The 17,802-nt window shown below is 51.6% G+C and overlaps 1 protein-coding gene across 3 annotated transcripts in view, besides 1 other annotated feature; it reads left to right on the top strand.

Moving 5' to 3' along the window:
* Positions 1-17,802, top strand: part of PADI2 (peptidyl arginine deiminase 2) — a 52,691-nt gene that overhangs the window by 26,394 nt on the left and 8,495 nt on the right. The window contains exons 6-12 of one of the 3 annotated variants that reach the window (NM_007365.3): positions 525-650; positions 6,359-6,537; positions 8,356-8,459; positions 9,221-9,332; positions 10,406-10,513; positions 13,643-13,794; positions 17,235-17,379. In NM_007365.3, the coding sequence (NP_031391.2) occupies positions 525-650; positions 6,359-6,537; positions 8,356-8,459; positions 9,221-9,332; positions 10,406-10,513; positions 13,643-13,794; positions 17,235-17,379 (926 nt within the window). The other 2 variants (XM_047442975.1, XM_017000148.3) reach the window with 2 other exon arrangements.
* Positions 6,703-7,204: an enhancer, noted in NCBI's record as "H3K4me1 hESC enhancer chr1:17412349-17412850 (GRCh37/hg19 assembly coordinates)". NCBI's record gives its function as "activates a minimal SCP1, AML or CMV promoter by ChIP-STARR-seq in naive H9 embryonic stem cells {active_cell/tissue: H9 hESC(naive)}" and the evidence as "EXISTENCE:reporter gene assay evidence [ECO:0000049][PMID:30033119]".

Here is a 17,802-nt window from a genome sequence, read left to right as displayed (position 1 = left end):
AAATTCCCAAAAGGTTAATCATCTCTAGTGTTGGAAATGACAACTGGTTTTTATTCTGTTTTATGCTTTGCTTTTTTCTTTTTCTTTTTTTTTCTTTTTTTTTTTTTTTGAGACAAGGCCTTGTTCTATTGCCCAAGCTGGAGTGCAGTGGCATGATCATAGCTCACTACAGCCTCAACCCCCTGGGTTCAAGCCATCCTCCTGCCTCAGCCTCCTGAGTAGCCAGGATTACAGGCACATGCCACCATGCGTGGCTAATTTTTTTTATTTTTGTAAAGATGGGGTCTTGCTATGTTGCTCAGGCTGGTGTTTGTCTCCTGGCCTTAAGTGATCCACCCACCTCAACCTCCCAAAGCACTGGGATTACAGGTGTGAGCCACAGCACCCAGCCTCTTTATGCTTTTCTATAGTTTCCATAATACACATCCATGGGGATTTTTTCCTGATTATCAAAGTAAAAGGCATTGGGAAGCTGAGGCTCCAGCAACAGATAGATCTCTTCATTCTCACCTTCTGTCCCTCAGATCTCAAGGACATGTCCCAGATGATCCTGCGGACCAAAGGCCCCGACCGCCTCCCCGCCGGATACGAGATAGTTCTGTACATTTCCATGTCAGACTCAGACAAAGTGGGCGTGTTCTACGTGGAGAGTGAGTGATCCCAGCCCAGTCCAGCCTAGACCTTTCTAGCCACCTACCCTCCTCCCCTTAGCAGTTGTGGCCTTCACAGGTGCAGGTGCCTGGGGAAGACCTGGATTGGTCTCTGAGTGATTGTAACATGGCAATGCTGTTGTCCCGTGAAGTTGAAAGACTCCATGGGGACACATCGCTCCTCCTCTCAAAGGAGTCTGGAGTGACATGGGTCTATGTAGAACCCAGAGGCCCTTCCTCCCTACGAATCAGGGGAGGAAGGGCATTTGGGCACTTCTTTTCTGGAGTCATGTCACCTTCAGGATACCTGAGGCAGGGCAGGCACCACCTCCAGGTATTTTCTGCCATCTCTGACTTTCAAAGACCCCCTAAAGATGCAGTGGGCACCCTTGAAGAGTTGACCCCTTGCTCCTCTCGATGGCAACAGATGTCCTGGGCCCCCACTGTGTAGGGCACGGGCTCCTGCCCTGGAGCTAGTCCTCGTAGCTGCCGGCTCTGCCTCACCCTGTCTGTGGATATGTGTTGAGCCCTTTGGTGCCAGGCCCTGTTCTCAGCTTTGAGATCTCTGCAGTAAACACAACAATCACACCCTGCCCTCAAGGAGCCGCCAGTCTAGCAAGAGAGACATAATCAGTACCACAATTGGAGGAAATGAAATAGAATAAGTGAGGAGAATGGCAGGGCAGAGGCACCACTAGATGGGTGCCTCTGAAAAGGCCTCTCTGAGGAGGTGACATCTGAGCTGAGACTCAGATGAACAATAAGAAGGAACCAGCCACTCGTGAGCTGAGGGAAGAGTGTTCTAAGCAGAGGCAACAGCATCTGCAAAGCCTGGAGGAGGAGACCAGTTTAGAGTGTGGGAAGAGCAGATGGAAGCCCAGAGCAGGGCTGGGAGTCAAGGTCAGTCAGCTCGGCCAGGGGCCAGAGCATGCAGACTGGGTTTGGATTTTCTTCTGAGTGCAATGGAATGCCATTAGAGGGTTTTATGCAAGGGACTGTCATAATAATGATGTATGTGTTTTAAAAACTCCCTCAGCAAAATAGTCGGCATTGCAATTTGCCATGGTACAAGGCGGGTCGTGGGGTGGCGGGAGGAGGCTTCTGCATGCCCAGCTGCCTAGGGGGGCCAGGATCTCTGGCCCAGCCCCGAACCCACCTCTAGACAGGCCTACTAGATCCAGGGCATTCACCATGAGGTGAGTAGGGACCCTGGACCCTCACATCAGGGAGATATTTAGCCAGGATGGCAGTGGCCAGCAGCCACCCAATACCAGTCTTCCTTCTGATCCACCCTGGGCTCCAAGCAGTGACCTCACACAGGTTGGAATGTGCCCAGAGTCAGGCTGGCTCCGCTGCCGCAGGGGGCCGGAGATGTTGATGTTGACACCATCCAGGCCAGGGTTGTCATGGAGGATGGGATCACCAGTGGGAGCAGGAGGGATGCAAGCAGGACCTCAACCTCGGCCTCTTGACCTTGGTGTCGTGACACGAGACCTGTTGCAAATAATGATGTCTGGACATTATCTAGAAGTTTCTTCTTTTTGCTAAAGGGAGTGGACTGGTCTGGTTCCATAATCTCATCCCTCCTCATCACTTGCCATCTGAGATGGGTCCTGAGCAGACAAGAAAAAAGAGGAACTACTACCACAAGGGCTTTGAGAACGTCCCTTGGAGCCTCTTATTTGGGCTGCCCATCCTGTGGGGAGCAGCCACGACTGAGACAGTGGGGACCCAGAAGAGACAGTTTCCCAATAATGCTGACACTGGGTCACTGGGTGAAAACTCTTAGACACACACACACACACACACACACACACACACACACAAGCAAAGGACGACAGATAATTGACCAGGAGCACAGTCTCTTTTTCTTCCAGGCAAACACTTTGGAGTTATGTCAAATTCCAGGCACCCCTGTGGATGAGCGAATGTCAGGTGTCCTGGTAGGGTCAGACCAGCTCTCCCCAAGGCCAGGGGGCTGGGTTGGAGACTGAAGGACCCCTATAGGGAGTGCTGGAGTCAGGGAGCTACAATTCTGGGTCCAGGCAAGTCTTCTCACCAGCCCCAGCCTTGGGGTGCTCATCTCTGACGTGGCATGGGAGTAGTAAGAGTTCCGACTGTCCCGGGTGTCCCGGATCGTGGTGGGGATCTAATGAGGAAGGTGTGTCAGGCACTGAGTGCAGTAGCTGGCCTTTGGAAAGCTCTCCATAAATGGCAATTATGGCTTTTGTTGAGATTATGATGATGACTGTTAGTTACAATGATTGGAGTGGACAGAAGGCTTCAGTGCTCCTAGGAAGACCTGGTAACGGCCTTAGCCTCAAATTCTGCCCAAAACACCAAGCACTGGGGCCTTACCTCTTTATACAAGGAAATGGTAATCCAGTTTGCCCAGGACTTTCCTTATTTTAGCACTGAGGGCTCCTCATGCCAGGAAACCCCTCAGTCCTAGGGAAACCAAATCAGCTGGTCACACTATCAAGGAGTCTCGCTGGGAAGTGGAATCATTCCAAAGTAGCTAGAAAGGTTAAGGCAAACCACGTGCCAGCCAATGCCTGGGGCAGAGAGGTCACGGTGGTCAGTGGGCCCAGCCCAAGGCACGAGGACCACTCAATAGAGCGGCATTGTTGGTTCCTGCAGAGAAAGCTGGCCACGCTCAGTGTGGGGTTTGCACCGAGCCAGGGATGGAGGACGGGGTAAGGAGGCTCCTGGGGACAATGGCTGAATTGTTCCCACCAAGAAATCAGTCCGCCCGGAGCTGGCCCCAACTGTCAGAAAGCAGCCCAGAATAGAGGTGCATTGTGAATCACAGGCCACGGGCCACATCGGGAGGGAGAAAGCTGCCGGCAGACGGACTAGAACGTGTCCTCCACCTGCCCCACCACCCCTGGCCAGATCCCTGTTCCTACCCCAGACCTTGGTGGAGCCCCCCAGGTGCTCTGAGCCCTGGGAAAGCTTTGGCTGTGTGGCTTCTGCCAGGACAAGTTGGCTTCTAAGCCTGACTGTCCCCTGAGCATCAGTTCAAGTGCAGCCTGGGGCCTGTGGGCATGGGAGGGCCCGAGTGCCTGGAGGAAAATGTTTTCATGATGCCAGTCTATCTGAAACTACTGACTGACAGGGCTGCAGGGTGCACACTATTGTTTCTGGGTGAGCAGGACCTCACTTTCTATTCTTTGGGACTTTCAGTATCTGAATTTTTCCACCTCATTTCTTGGACTCCTCCCTCCCAAGGGAGGATGAGGTGGGACGTGGTTTCCCTGCCTTCTGTTTGGAAACTATTCAATGAAAACTCCTTCACATCCTCGTAATACAGGTCCAAGCAGTGTTACTGATGGTTACCCATGGTTACTGAGGTTACTGAAGTTACTGAGCCTGTGTCATTTACATTGAACCTGTGGCGTGGGTATCATTATCTCCCACTTAACAGATGAGTAAACTGAGGCTCAGGGAGGTTAAGTGAATTCTCTGAGGCTTGGTTTTTTTTTTTTTTTTTTTTTTTTTGAGATGGAGTCTCGCTCTGTCGCCCAGGCTGGAGTGCAGTGGTGCAATCTTGGCTCACCACAATCTCTGCCTCCTGGGTTCAAGTGATATTCCTGCCTCAGCCTCCCGAGTAGCTAGGATTACAGGCACGCACCACCATGTCCGGCTAATTTTTGTATTTTTAGTAGAGACGGGGTTTCACTGTGTTGGCCAGTCTTGTCTCAAACTCCTGACCTCGTGATTCGCCCGCCTCAGCATCCCAAAGTGCTGGGATTACAGGCGTGAGCTACTGCACCCGGCTCCCTGAGGTTTTATAGCTTGTAAAGCCAGAGAAGTATTTAAACCAAGGTCCCTCTGACATTGGAAGTCATAACCACTAAGGGAAGCACCCTTAGTGAGATTTATAACCAGGGTCTATTTCGGCACATTGTCCCACAGGAGGAGCCATCCCAAGCCCTGGCTTCGCGGTTCATCCACTTATTTCTCACGTTTTAATCAAGCACCTAGTTTGTGCCAGGCTATTCGGCTTATGTGTTCTAACCCTTGAGCATCTGGTCATTAACCATTATCATTGTCGTTGAAAGCACTAAGCTGAGGCTGATTCTGCCCTTCCAGCTCTACAGGGCATAAAGAAATTCCTTCTGGAACTGCATAGGGTCCTACCTCCATGCCTTTACCAATGCAAGTATCTCCTCTCCCCAACACACCCATTTCTGCCAACCCGCAAGGGCATCTCAAAGGCTGCCTTCCTCTGCTCAAATGCTTCCCACCGTGCCTCTTCTGCCCTCCCCACCCTACCCCAAGTAACCAGACTGGATCTCACCCATAGCCGCCGTTATGACGCTTCCCACATCTGCTCCATCTTATCATCAGCTGAGCACTGCTGTTACAGAGGCTGCATTTGGACCACCTCTGTCTCCCCGAAGGTCCTTGCCTGATTCATGTGCTCTCAATCTGCCTGAAAATTCCCCCTTGGTCTCTCCCACAGGGAATGTTGTGGGAGTCATTGGTTCGTTCAGTAGACATTTGTTAAACATGACCATGTGCCGGGCAGGCCCTGGGCCCCACTGGGCCTGTCTCTACCCTCGCACAGGTCACCCACATTTAAAAAGGCTGTGATGAGGCCGGGTGTGGTGGCTCACACCTGTAATCCCAGCACTTTGGGGGTCTGAAGGCAGGCAAATCACTAAAGGCAAGGAGTTCGAGACCAGCCTGACCAAGATGGCGATGAAACCCTGTCTCTGCTAAAAAATACAAAAATTAACCATATGTGGTGGTGGGCGCCTGTAATCCCAGCTACTTGGGAGGCTGAGGCAGGAGAATCGCTTGAACCCAGGAGGCAGAGGTTGCAGTGAGCCAGGATCATGCCACTGCACTCCAGCCTAGGTTACAGAGCAAGAATCTGTCTCAAAAAATAAATAAATAAATAAATAAACAAACAAACAAACATAAAAAGACTGTGATGGAGATGGCAGGTGGCTGTGGGAGCTCCAAACAGAGCCCCTGGCTTTGTCTCTGGGGAAACTGGGCTGGATTGTTGCAAGTGACACAAACCAAGGCCTGAAGGAAGAAGGGACACAATTGTTTCAGGCAGAGGGGAGAGCACAAGTCAAACTGGGAGCTTTCAGGAGGGCAGGAGCCCTGGAGGAACCTATCTTTCCGCCCAGCCACAAAAATGAACAGCCCATGCACTGGCCTTTACACCAACACGGCTTCCATGATATGGAGGGAATTTTTGGTATAATGGGCACATTTATGGTTTGTTTATACAGAGGGGATGAGAGCTCGGGATTCAGAATTCGACTTGAATCTGAGTCCCAGCTCAGCTATTTACTGGCTGTCTGACTTTGGACAAGCCACTCCTCCTTTCTGAGATTGGTTTCCTCATCTGTGAAATGGAAACAATTACATCCTCCCCTGGAACCACTAACTGCTCAGCTGGCAATTTCCTATCAGCCGTTCACGAGAGAGCTTGCTTATTTTATAGATGGGGAAGCCAAAAGCCAGAGAGGGTGACTGTCTGGCAAAGCGCCACACAGCCAGCACACAGCAGTGCTGAGACAATGACAATGACCTAGCCATGGCCATTCTGGTGGCATTTTCTGCTTGTGCTTTTCTCTCTGTCTAGAGGACAAGTTACTTTGCCCTTTTGTCCCCATCGGTGATCCCACCCCACCGACCTCTTTCTGATGCGGGTGGGAGTCTGACGTTGGTCCTTTTCCCTCCAGACCCGTTCTTCGGCCAACGCTATATCCACATCCTGGGCCGGCGGAAGCTCTACCATGTGGTCAAGTACACGGGTGGCTCCGCGGAGCTGCTGTTCTTCGTGGAAGGCCTCTGTTTCCCCGACGAGGGCTTCTCAGGCCTGGTCTCCATCCATGTCAGCCTGCTGGAGTACATGGCCCAGGTGAGGGCTCCAGGCCTCCACCACAGGGGGCTAACCCCAGGGGCCAGGGTGGGTCTCCTACTAGTGGGCCATTCCTATGCTATGCTCCACCCTGCTCAAAGCGCCAAAGGGGTGGGTCCAGGCTAGGAGACCTCGATGCCCCCCAGCAAAGCCTGCACGTGTCTGCCAGGGTCCTCTGAGCCATGCTCCTGGGATCAGTCTCCTTGCTGCTTCTGCTCCCCACGGATTCCCTGTGGGCAATGTTTCCTGACACACTCCACGCCTGTGTCCTGGCCTGCCCTGCTCCCTGCCTAGGTCTAAGGCCCAGAGTCCTGCTGATTAGCGCGAGGCTCTAAGCAGCCACCCAGGTGGGGTTTGCTGACCACCTACTGCGCGCTCTGTACTTCCTGCCCCACTCTGACCCCTCCCCCAACTGTGGGTTATACCAACTCTGACTGCAGGCTGAACCCCAAATCCCAGTTTCAGGTTGTGCCCTACCCTGGGGCCAGGCATCTCAGCCAGCCTTGCTCTTGCTTTGGGGAGAAACTGGATGAGGAGAAGAGGTCCTGTCCCTCTAGAGAAGCCCCCATCACTGAGGGCGTGCTGTGCTCACAAGAATCTCTATCACAAAGACCTTTCATCCCCAGACCCTAGCCTCTCAGGCCCACCCTGTTTCGCTCAGAAAAAAAGGGAAGGACCTGGCTGCTCTCGCAAACACAAGAGCCCCTCATTTTTATCCCCAGGCCACTTTGGGAAAGGATACAATGGGTGCTATAGAAAGGTGAGGCTGGATCTAGCTGAGATGTATGAGAATGAGCCCTGGCAGCCGACTGCCCAGGTTCAACTCCTGGTTTAACCACCACGAGACACTAGGCAAATGAATTAAACTTCCTGTTAATTTCCTTAGTTAAGGGTAGTTTGCCATAGTTTCTCCATCTGTAAGACAGAACGTCCAAAAGTTTCTGCTGCCGGGGGTGGTTGTGAGCATCCAAACTTGTGAAGTTCTACTTACAAAGCACCCTCAAGCTCCCTGGGAAGTGGAAAAGGCAAAGCTAACAGGATAGGGGACGGGGATGGGGCTTCTTATGGCACCCATGCCCAGGGCAGCCTGACCCCCAGGATCTCTCAGGCACCCGCAGAGACTCAAAAGGCAGACCACGGCAAGCAAGGCAAGCCGTGCAACAGTCCCACCACCCCCGCACCTCCCCACCAAGGATGGGGTCCATTTCCTATATCTTTTGAAAGCCAGCCCCACAAAGGAACCCTGGAATCAGACCTCACTTTCCCTTGGGTTCCAGGCAAGCTGCTTGACCATTCCTTAAAACAAAACAGTCTGGACATAGCAAAACTGACCCAAAACAACGCGAAAATGCCCACATACAGAAAACGGCAAGGTGCCAAGGGCAAAAACAGAGGAAGGTGGGGGGCTGGCTCAGCTGTTGCGTGGGGCGATTTCAGGAAGAGAAGTTTGATGGGACAAGATAGGACAGTGGTTAAGAGTGTGACCTCAGCAGCTGACTGCCTGGGTGTAAAGCCTACCATGTGGTCAAGCACACGGGTGGCTCTACCACTTACCAACCATGTGACCTTGGGCGGTTAACAGCCCTGTGACTCGGTTTCCCCATCTGAAAAGTGAGGATCATAGCAGTATCTACCTCCTGCGGTGGTCGGAAGGCAGAAAAGAATTGGCACATGTGAAAGTACTTAGCACAGGCTTGGTGCATAGCAAGTCCTGAGGAAATGTATTCACTGTCATCAGTTTCACCCGCTTTGAAAGGCAGGCAAAGAAAGCACCTGACAAAACCTTTTGATCCCCCACGCCTTGTCTCCCACACCCAGGACATTCCCCTGACTCCCATCTTCACGGACACCGTGATATTCCGGATTGCTCCGTGGATCATGACCCCCAACATCCTGCCTCCCGTGTCGGTGTTTGTGTGCTGGTAAGGGGTGACCCCAGCCTGGAGAGGCAGCGTGGCAGAGTGGCCAAGGGCCGAGTCAGATGGACATGAGTCTAGTTCCTGGCCCCGTCACTTACCACTGTGTTACCTTGAGCAACTCTCTTGGCCTCTCTGAAATGCCCACATCGTAGAGTCACTGTGAGAATTAAATGAGATGAAGCAGGCAAAGCATTTATCCAAGGCCCAGCACACAGGGTATGCTCTAAAAATAATAGCTGCCATTCTGTTCTCTTGCTTAACCCTCTACCAGGCAGTTAGCAACCTCCTATGCAGTGGAAATGCAGCTCATCTGACTCATTCATTAAACAGACTTTTATTGACCACCTATTATGAGCTAGGTCCACAACAGCAAGATGAGAACCAAGGGAAAAAGTGCCTGTGATTAGATGGCTAGCAACCCAAAAGGGACCCTTGGGGTCCTCACGTCCATCCCATCTTCATGCCAGGCAGAGCTCTTCTTTGAAAATCTGTGGAGTCAGAGGTGTAAGGCATTGGGACAGGTGGGGGTGAGAGTTCCCCCCCTCATTTTATTTGTTCATGACCTTGACAAACGCCACATGAGTGGGTGGGTTTACTTGGCCTTTGATTCCAGCGGCCTTTATAAAGGTGGCCGTGAGCACAGGTGTAGACTGATCTGCCCGGCACAGCCCAGAGATACCAGCTGCTGTCACCATCTCAGGGAGATGACTCTGGCCCCTCCTCACCCTTTCTCCTGGCCTCTCCTTCTTCCCCCAACTTCTCAGCATGAAGGATAATTACCTGTTCCTGAAAGAGGTGAAGAACCTTGTGGAGAAAACCAACTGTGAGCTGAAGGTCTGCTTCCAGTACCTAAACCGAGGCGATCGCTGGATCCAGGTAAGGAGCCCAGGTCCAGGCTGGGAAGGACATGGCCCCCGGGTCAAGCAAAGAAGAGTTGGCTTCATGTGAACTGCCTGGCACCCAGCAGCTCTGCAGATGGGGATTCTTCTGTCAGCTCATATCTGCACATGTGCACAAAGACATAAACATACAAGTGCACTACAGTGCTGCTTCTTGTAGTAGCAAAAGATTGCAAAGCAACCTAAATGTCCATCTGTGGAGGACTGAGTAACGGCCTTCCCGGAAGTTCTGTGCAACCGCTAAAAAGGATGAAGCCAGTCTCTCAATATGGATACAGGATGTGCTTCAAGTTAAGTTGTTACTCAACGGAAAACATATTCAGGATGCTGCTTGCTATTTGTGTGTTTTGTTTTGTTTGAGACGAGGTCTCGCTCTGTCACCCAGGCTGGAGTGCAGTGGCATGATCTCAGCTCACTGCAACCTCCGCCTTGCGGGCTTAAGCAATCCTCCCACCTCAGCCTCCCAAGTAGCTGGGACTACAGGCATGCACCACCACGCCTGGTTATTGTGTTTTTTAAAATGAGGTCTAGGCCACGCGTGGTGGATAATACCTGTAATCCCAGCACTTTGGGAGGCTGAGGTGGGAGGATTGCCTGAGAACAGGAATTCAAGACATGCTTGGGCAACATAGCAAGACCCTGACTCCACAAAAAAAAATTTAAAAATTAGCCTGGCATGGTAGTGCACACCTGTAGTCGTAGCTACTCAGAGGCTGAGGCAGGAGGACCGCTTGAGCCCAGGAGTTTGAGGCTGCAGTGGGCCATAATCATGGCACTGCACTCCAGCCTGGGCAACAGAGTGAGACCCTGTCTCAAAAAAAAAAAAATGGGGCTGATATCGGTAAGAAACCTGCCTGTGATGTGCAGAGACTGCCTATGGACACCTGTGCTGCCATCATCAGTGTGAGGGGAGGAGGATGGGGGACCAGGGAATGGGGAACAAGACAGACGTTCTTCTTCCTTTGTGCTCTTGTGTTTCTCGAGTTTTCTGCCCATGTGCACAAATTGTCCCCTGGATTCGTCTAACAGTTCTCCTTGGTGTCCCTGCAGGATGAAATTGAGTTTGGCTACATCGAGGCCCCCCATAAAGGCTTCCCCGTGGTGCTGGACTCTCCCCGAGATGGAAACCTAAAGGACTTCCCTGTGAAGGAGCTCCTGGTAAGATGCTGAGGGCCACTTGCGGGTGGAGCATGATCCTGGAGATTCTCATAAGACAGAGTGGTCAGGAGACCCTGGGCCGCCTTGACACATTCATCTGCTGCCCAGAGCCTCTGTTTCTCCTCTGCAAAATGAGTCCACTTGGGATAGCTGCCTCTGAGGTCCTTTCCTGCTCTGATAACTGATGTTTTTCCAAAACATAGAGAGTTTTCTAGTGGGAAATGGGAACTAAGGGAAATAGAGTTAAGACCTAGTTCCAGAGGCCCTGGCCCCTGCTGCTGCCCTTCCCCTCCAAATTGCAGCAAAATGAGTTAAGTTTCAAAGAGGAAAAAAACATAGTTATGCAATTGTCAAAAGTCATGGTTCCAACTTCCAAGTTCATCAGCACTTTGAGGCTATGGTTTTTGGTGCGTGTGTATGTGTGTGTTTGTTTTTGTTTTCTGAGACAAGAGTCTTGCTCTGTCGCCCAGGCTGAAATGCAGTGGCTCACTGCAACTTCCATCTCCCAGGTTCAAGCAATTCTCCTGCCTCAGCCTCCCAAGTAGCTGGGATTACAGGCATGCACCATCATGCCTGGCTAATTTTTGTATTTGTAGTAGAGATGGGGTTTCACCATGTTGGCCAGGCTGGTCTCGAACTCCTGACCCCAGATGATCCACTTACCTTGGCCTCCCAAAGTGCTGGGATTACAGGTGTGAGCCACTGTACTCAGCCATGTTTTTTGTTTCTTTGTTTGTTTGTTTGTTTGTTTTTAAGTCATCTGACTCCTCCCATTCTGGAAGCCATTCTCAGTCCCCTTTTAGGCCCTTGACAACCTAGTGTGTGAAGTTAGAACCGAAACCAATCTTTCTTTTGTCTGCACTCTTCTGCCCTGAACAGGCTGGGGGAGGTTTGAACAGGGCATGAAACAAGAGACTGGAATAGATCAGGGGACTTTTCCCAAGGTCACATGCAGGACAGCATTCCTGTCAGACGCCAGGGCTGCCCAGAGCTGACCCTGTGCCAGGTTCACACCTGTTCTGCCCCACATTCCTTACCCAGTGCCCTGTTCACAAGGAGATGCTAGAGCCAATGGTGTCAGCACAGAGCTTTGGAATGTCAGGTGGACCCGGTCTTGAGTCCTAATTGCACCTCTTAGCAGCCATGTGACCTTGGGCAAGCAATTACCTTCCACGAGCCTCAGTTTCCTCATCTAAAATGGGGATAGAAATGATATCAGTCTCACAGAATGTTGTGAAGATTGAAGGCGTTGTATAAGGCATCAGTGCCATGTCTGATATAATGACCATTATTAGCTGTTGTTATGGTTATCATTCCCCGGGCCCTGTCCTTAGTGAGCTTATTGTCCACTTTCCCTAACACTATGATGAGTAGAGTCAAACCAACCACCAGCACCAGTTGCCACAGGCATGAGAAGCGAGGCCTTTCCAGGTCACCACCTGCCTTCAGTATTCCAGGCTGGCCTGGTTCCAAGGCCCCAGGCTGCGTTGTTCCTTGAGGCCCAGGCCAGGCCCGGCTTTGTGCTGCATACCTGCCCACCTGTATGGTGCTGCAGAGCCCCAGCACCCCAGCCTTGGCAAGCTCCCATGTTGCCAGCTGGGGCCCCAAGATGAGAAAGCACTAGGCTGCTGCCATCTACCCCATGGGCTCAGCTGTCCCTGGAGCCTCTCAGCTGAGCCAGGATAAGCCACATCCTCCGACTCCACTGGATTTTGTAAGGCAAGCTTCATCCCAACCCCAGTGCAAGCTCCCAAACAAGATTCCTATATTTGTACCCCAAAAGCCATGAGAGGAATGTTAAAATTCAGGGGCCAATGGGGTTATGACTTGCGGGCTAACTCCAATTTTTTGGAGCTCTGTGTGAAGAAGGGTTCTGAGGCTTCCTCTGGGCTCAGTGGCAAGTCTGGCAGGTTGAGACTGGGTTGAGATGTCATGTATATTCATAGCTGCCACTTTTGCATGTATTGGTCAGCTTCACCAAGTAACAAACCAACCCGAAATCTCCATGACCGACAACAGCAAAGGCCTGTGTCTTGCTGGCATTCCATGTTGATTGCTGCTGGTGGTCTGCCACTCTGCTTCTTTATGCCTTCCTTACTCTAGCGCTCAAGGTGCCAGAGCAGCCCCAGTCTGGGAAATGCCATTCTCCTAGCACAGGGAGAATTCAAAGAGTTGGCAGACACACGTGGGGGCTCCTGTGGCTTCTGCTGTTCACTGGCATGCATCCCTTCTGCTCACATTTCATTGGCCAAAGCAAGTCACGTGACCAAGTCTGACACTGGGCAGGGAAGTATATTCCTTTTGCAGGAAGATGCCAGAAGTCACATGGCAATGGGTCAGGATGCAAAATTCTCTTACTGCGCAGAGGGTAGCAAATCTCTGGAAATAATAATACTAGCTGCTCCCCTTCCTCAGGTTACCTAATCTGGTAACTCTCTTATAGATGGGGAAACGGGCTGGGCGCAGTGGCTCACCCCTGTAATCCCAGCACTTTGGGAGGCCAAGGTGGGTGGATCACTTGAGGTCAGGAGTTCGAGACCAGCCTGGGCAACCCAGTGAAACCCCATCTCTACTAAAAATACAAAAATTAGCCAGGGGTGGTGCTTGCCTATAATCCTAGCCACTGGGGAGGCTGAGGCAGGAGAATCACTTGAACCAAGAGGCACAGGTTGCAATGAGCTGAGATCATGCCACCGCACTCCAGCCTGGGCGACAGAGCAAGACTCCATCTCAGAAAAAAAAAAACAACAACAGATGGGGAAACTGAAAGTGCATAGCATAAAATGCGGACTAATTCTGAAATCACCAATATGTATCTGTGCTTGGGAAATAGAGGCATACACAGGAATGCAGATGCCCACACACTCACATTCACACTCACACTCACTCTCACACTCACTCTCACACTCACTCTCACTCGCACTCTCACACTACACCGAGATGCTCACACACTCAGCCTCCCCATGCCCAGGCCCCTGCTCTTTGTTAATCATAGGAAGACCGTGGACAACCCACCTGGAAACTGGGTGCCCACAGACCCAGACTGAAGGTGATAAAAGAGGGTGGCTGGCTTGGGGGCTGAGGACCCTGGCTGCAGAAGACTAACGCAGGTGTGTGCCCTCTGCCTAGGGCCCAGATTTTGGCTACGTGACCCGGGAGCCCCTCTTTGAGTCTGTCACCAGCCTTGACTCATTTGGAAACCTGGAGGTCAGTCCCCCAGTGACCGTGAACGGCAAGACATACCCGCTTGGCCGCATCCTCATCGGGAGCAGCTTTCCTCTGTAAGAGAAGCCAGGCTGGGGCTAGGGGCTGTGGGAGTGGGGAAGTCACTGTTTCTCTTTTGGGGTGGCCTGGGTTGCTCACACATGGAGCAAGTGGCTGGGGGAATTATTCCCTCCCACGACTTCCTGTTAAGAGGCCGACACTCTTGGAAAGAAAATCAAGCTAGCCTTTATATCTTTGTGTGATTTAGGATCTAATATATAACTAAATAAACAACTCTTTTCCCCAAGTGGAAAGGTGTATAATGAGATTATAAATCAGCTGGTTGGTGGGGCACGGTGGCTCTCACCTGTAATCCCAACACTTTGGGAGGCCAAGGTGGGCAGATCGCTTGAGTCCAGGGGTTTGAGACCAGCTTGGGCAACATGGCAAAACCCTTTCTCTACAAAAAATACAAAAATTAGCCAGGCATGGTGGCATGCATCTGTAGTCCCAGCTACTCAGGAAGCTGAGATGAGAGGATCGCTTGAGCCTGGGAGGTGGAGGTTGCAGTGAGCTGAGATCACACCACTGCACTCCAGCCTGGCAACAGAGTGAGACCTCATCTCAAAAATAAATAAATAGATAAATAAATAGGCTGGGCACAGTGGCCCATGCCTATAGTCCCAGCACTTTGGGAGGCCGAGGCAAGCAGATTGCTTGAGACCAGAAGTTCGAGACCAGCCTGGACAACATGGCAAAACTTTGTCTTTACTAAAAATACAAGTATTAGCAGGCATGGTGGTAATCCCAGCTTCTTGGGAGGCTGAGGCATGAGAATTGCTTGAACCTGGGAGCCAGAGGTTGCAGTGAGCTGAGATCATGCCCTGCACTCCAGCCTGGGTGAGAGAGAGACTCTGGCAAAAAAAATCAGGCCTGGTGCGGTGGCTCACGCCTGTAATCCCAGTACTTTGGGAGGCCGAGGCGGGTGGATCACCTGAGGTCGGGAGTTTGAGACCTGCCTGACCAACATGGAAAAATCTCGTCTCTACTAAAAATACAAAATTAGCCGGGCGTGGTGGCACATGCCTGTAATCCCAGCTACTCAAGAGGCTGAGGCAGAAGAATCGCTTGAACTCAGGAGGCAGAGGTTGCAGTGAGCCGAGATCGCGCCATTGCACTCCAGCCTGGGCAACAAGAGTGAAACTGCGTCTCAAAAAACAAAATAAAATAAAATAAAATATTAAATAAATCAGCTGGGGAAGGGATGGAGGAGTCCAGAGAAGGAAAACTGACAGGTATGAGTGGGAGCGTACCAATGAATCCTCAGGGCTACCATACTTAAAAGAGGTATGAGCAGACGTGGTCCTGCCCCAGAAATGTGAGTCCCTGGCTCCCTGGCCTGTCCATGATTCTCCTCACTCCCTGCCCAGTTGACCCACCAGCCAGTGAAAAGACAGATTCTTCCTTGTCAGGGCAGTCGCTGGGGAAAGAGTGAATACCTTAGGTTCTCACGTCACAAAAGGGCTGCCAGGAGCCTGCACAGATGGGGTCAGCCAGGATTTGGCCGCCAGTTTCCTCCGAGCCACATGGGATGCTCAGCCTTCTGCGGGGAGGCCACTGGCACAGCCAGCGACTGTTTGCCCACTTTTGCCTCCTTCTCCCTCCACTCAGTGGCCACTCATTCACTCAGCAACCATTTCCTGAGCACCAGCCAAGTGCCAGGCCCTGTGTCAGGCACAGGGTCCCAAACAGGAAGCCCAGCCCCTGCCTTCAAGGAGATAGCAGAGGTCTCAGGCATGCAAATAGACCCTGATGAAATGGAGGGACTTGCAACGATAGAAAGAATAACAGGGAGTCAGGTCAGCCCAGGGAGTGGCCCTGAACCCCCTCGAGGAGCTCAGGGGCGGCCCTTAAAGACAAATATTTATTGAGAAACTACTCTGTGCCAGGCACTATTCTAGGCTCTGGGGATACAGCGGTGACCAGAACAGATGAAGTCCCAGCTCTCCGGGAGTTTATAGTTGGGTAAGGGCAGTACAGAAAATAAACATGGAATCAAGTAAATCAATTAGATAATTCTGAATGCTGATACATGCAATGGAGAAGATAAAACAGGGTGACATGATAAAACATTCCTGGGGACAGGGGTGCCTTAGCTGTTGTTTTTTTGAAGATGTGACTAGAGTTGAGGCTTGGATGTTAAGAAGTAGGCAGCCATCAGGAGATTGTAAAGGAAGCGCATTCCATACAGAAGGAACAGCAAAGGGAAAAGCCCCAAGGGATAGCAAGTGTAGCAGGTGGCTGGAGCAGACAGAACCGGGGGAAGGGAGGGAAGCGAGGGAGGAGGGCTGGCCAGGAGCCAGATCAGAAAGGAATTTGTTGGCCACCCTAAGGAGCTAGGGTTATCTTCGGAGGATAATGGAGAGATTGCAGACCTTGGGGGGTCTAGAAATGAGGAAGGGCTGGCCGGGAGCGGTGGCTCACACCTGTAATCCCAGCACTTTGGAAAGCTGAGGTGGGCAGATCACGAAGTCAAGAGATCGAGACCATCCTGGCCGACATGGTAAAACCCCATCTCTACTAAAAATGCAAAAAAATTAGCTGGGCGGGGTGGTGGGCACCTGTAGTCCCAGCTACTTGGGAGGCTGAGGAAGGAGGATCGCTTGAACCAGGGAGGGAGATATTGCAGTGAGCTGAGATCATGCCACTGCACTGGTGACAGAGTTAGACTCTGTCTCAAAATACAAAAAACAAACACACACAAAAAAAGAAATGAGGAAGGGCTTCCTGGAGGAGGTTTCTCTTGAACTGATTAAAGATTAAAGTAAGTCCAGGCACAGTGGCTCACACCTGTAATCCCAGCAGTTTGGGAGGCCAAGGAGGGCGGATCATGAGGTCAGGAGTTCAAGACCAGCTTGGCCAACATGGTGAAACCCTGTCTCTACTAAAAATGCAAAAATTAGCCGGGCGTGGTGGCACACGCCTGTAGTCCCAGCTACTCAGGATGCTGAGGCAGGAGAATTGCTTGAACCCGGGAGGCAGAGGTTGCAGTGAACCAAGATCATGCCACTCTACTCCAGCCTGGGCAACATAGCAAGACTCCATCTCGGGGGAAAAAAAAAAGATTAAAGTAAGTAGAAGTTAATGTAGCAAAGAGGCACATGGATGAGGGCAGATTTTGGAGCCCTCCTGTGCCCTAGCCCCGTCCAGCAGGCCAGGTGGGACTCCCGCACACAAAAGGTAGCCTCTGCACACTCACTGGCACCCTCAAGGGCTGAAGCCTGGGCTCCCTGCCCTTCACACAGGCCGCAGCTGCAACTCACACCTACTCTTTCCCCTGGGACTCAAACGCCTTACTGCCTGCGCCAGGGTCTCTTAACCCAACCTAGTCTCCTTCCTGGGACTTCTCTGCTGATGTCACTCTGGGTCCGAGGTGGGTCCCAGAGACCAAACTCCTCTTGCAGGCCCTCTGGTGCGGTGGGTAATTTGCTGAAACTCCTCTTCCTCCCTTCTCCAGGTCTGGTGGTCGGAGGATGACCAAGGTGGTGCGTGACTTCCTGAAGGCCCAGCAGGTGCAGGCGCCCGTGGAGCTCTACTCAGACTGGCTGACTGTGGGCCACGTGGATGAGTTCATGTCCTTTGTCCCCATCCCCGGCACAAAGGTAAGCTAGCCTCCCGAGGCTGGAGTGAATGGGGTAGCAGCAAACCAATATATTACCCGCCCCTGCCAGCAGAGGGCAAGAGCTAGAGGAACTCGACAGCATAAAGGAAGGAGGAAGTAGGCTGAAGCTGGTTTGCATGTTGTTGCTGTGGCAGGTAAAATTTTAACCCCATAAATCCAAAATGTTAGCATTGCAACACATAATCAGCCTAAAAATTATTAACGAGAGATTTAAATTCTTTTCTCATACTAAATCTTCAAAATCTGGCAAAGATTTTACTCACATGACACACCTAAATTCAGACTAGCCACAGCTCAAGTGTTCAATAGTCACATAAGGCTAGTGGCTATTGTGTTGGTGGTAATGCTCTAGAGAGAAATAGGTTATGCACCTGTGGCACTGGAAAGAGGTTCTTTCATTTTC

This window comes from Homo sapiens, chromosome 1, assembly GCF_000001405.40.
Source record: "Homo sapiens chromosome 1, GRCh38.p14 Primary Assembly".
Taxonomy (NCBI): domain Eukaryota; kingdom Metazoa; phylum Chordata; class Mammalia; order Primates; family Hominidae; genus Homo; species Homo sapiens.
Note: the sequence above shows the minus strand (reverse complement) of the source record. Positions and strands in the feature narration are given on the sequence as shown.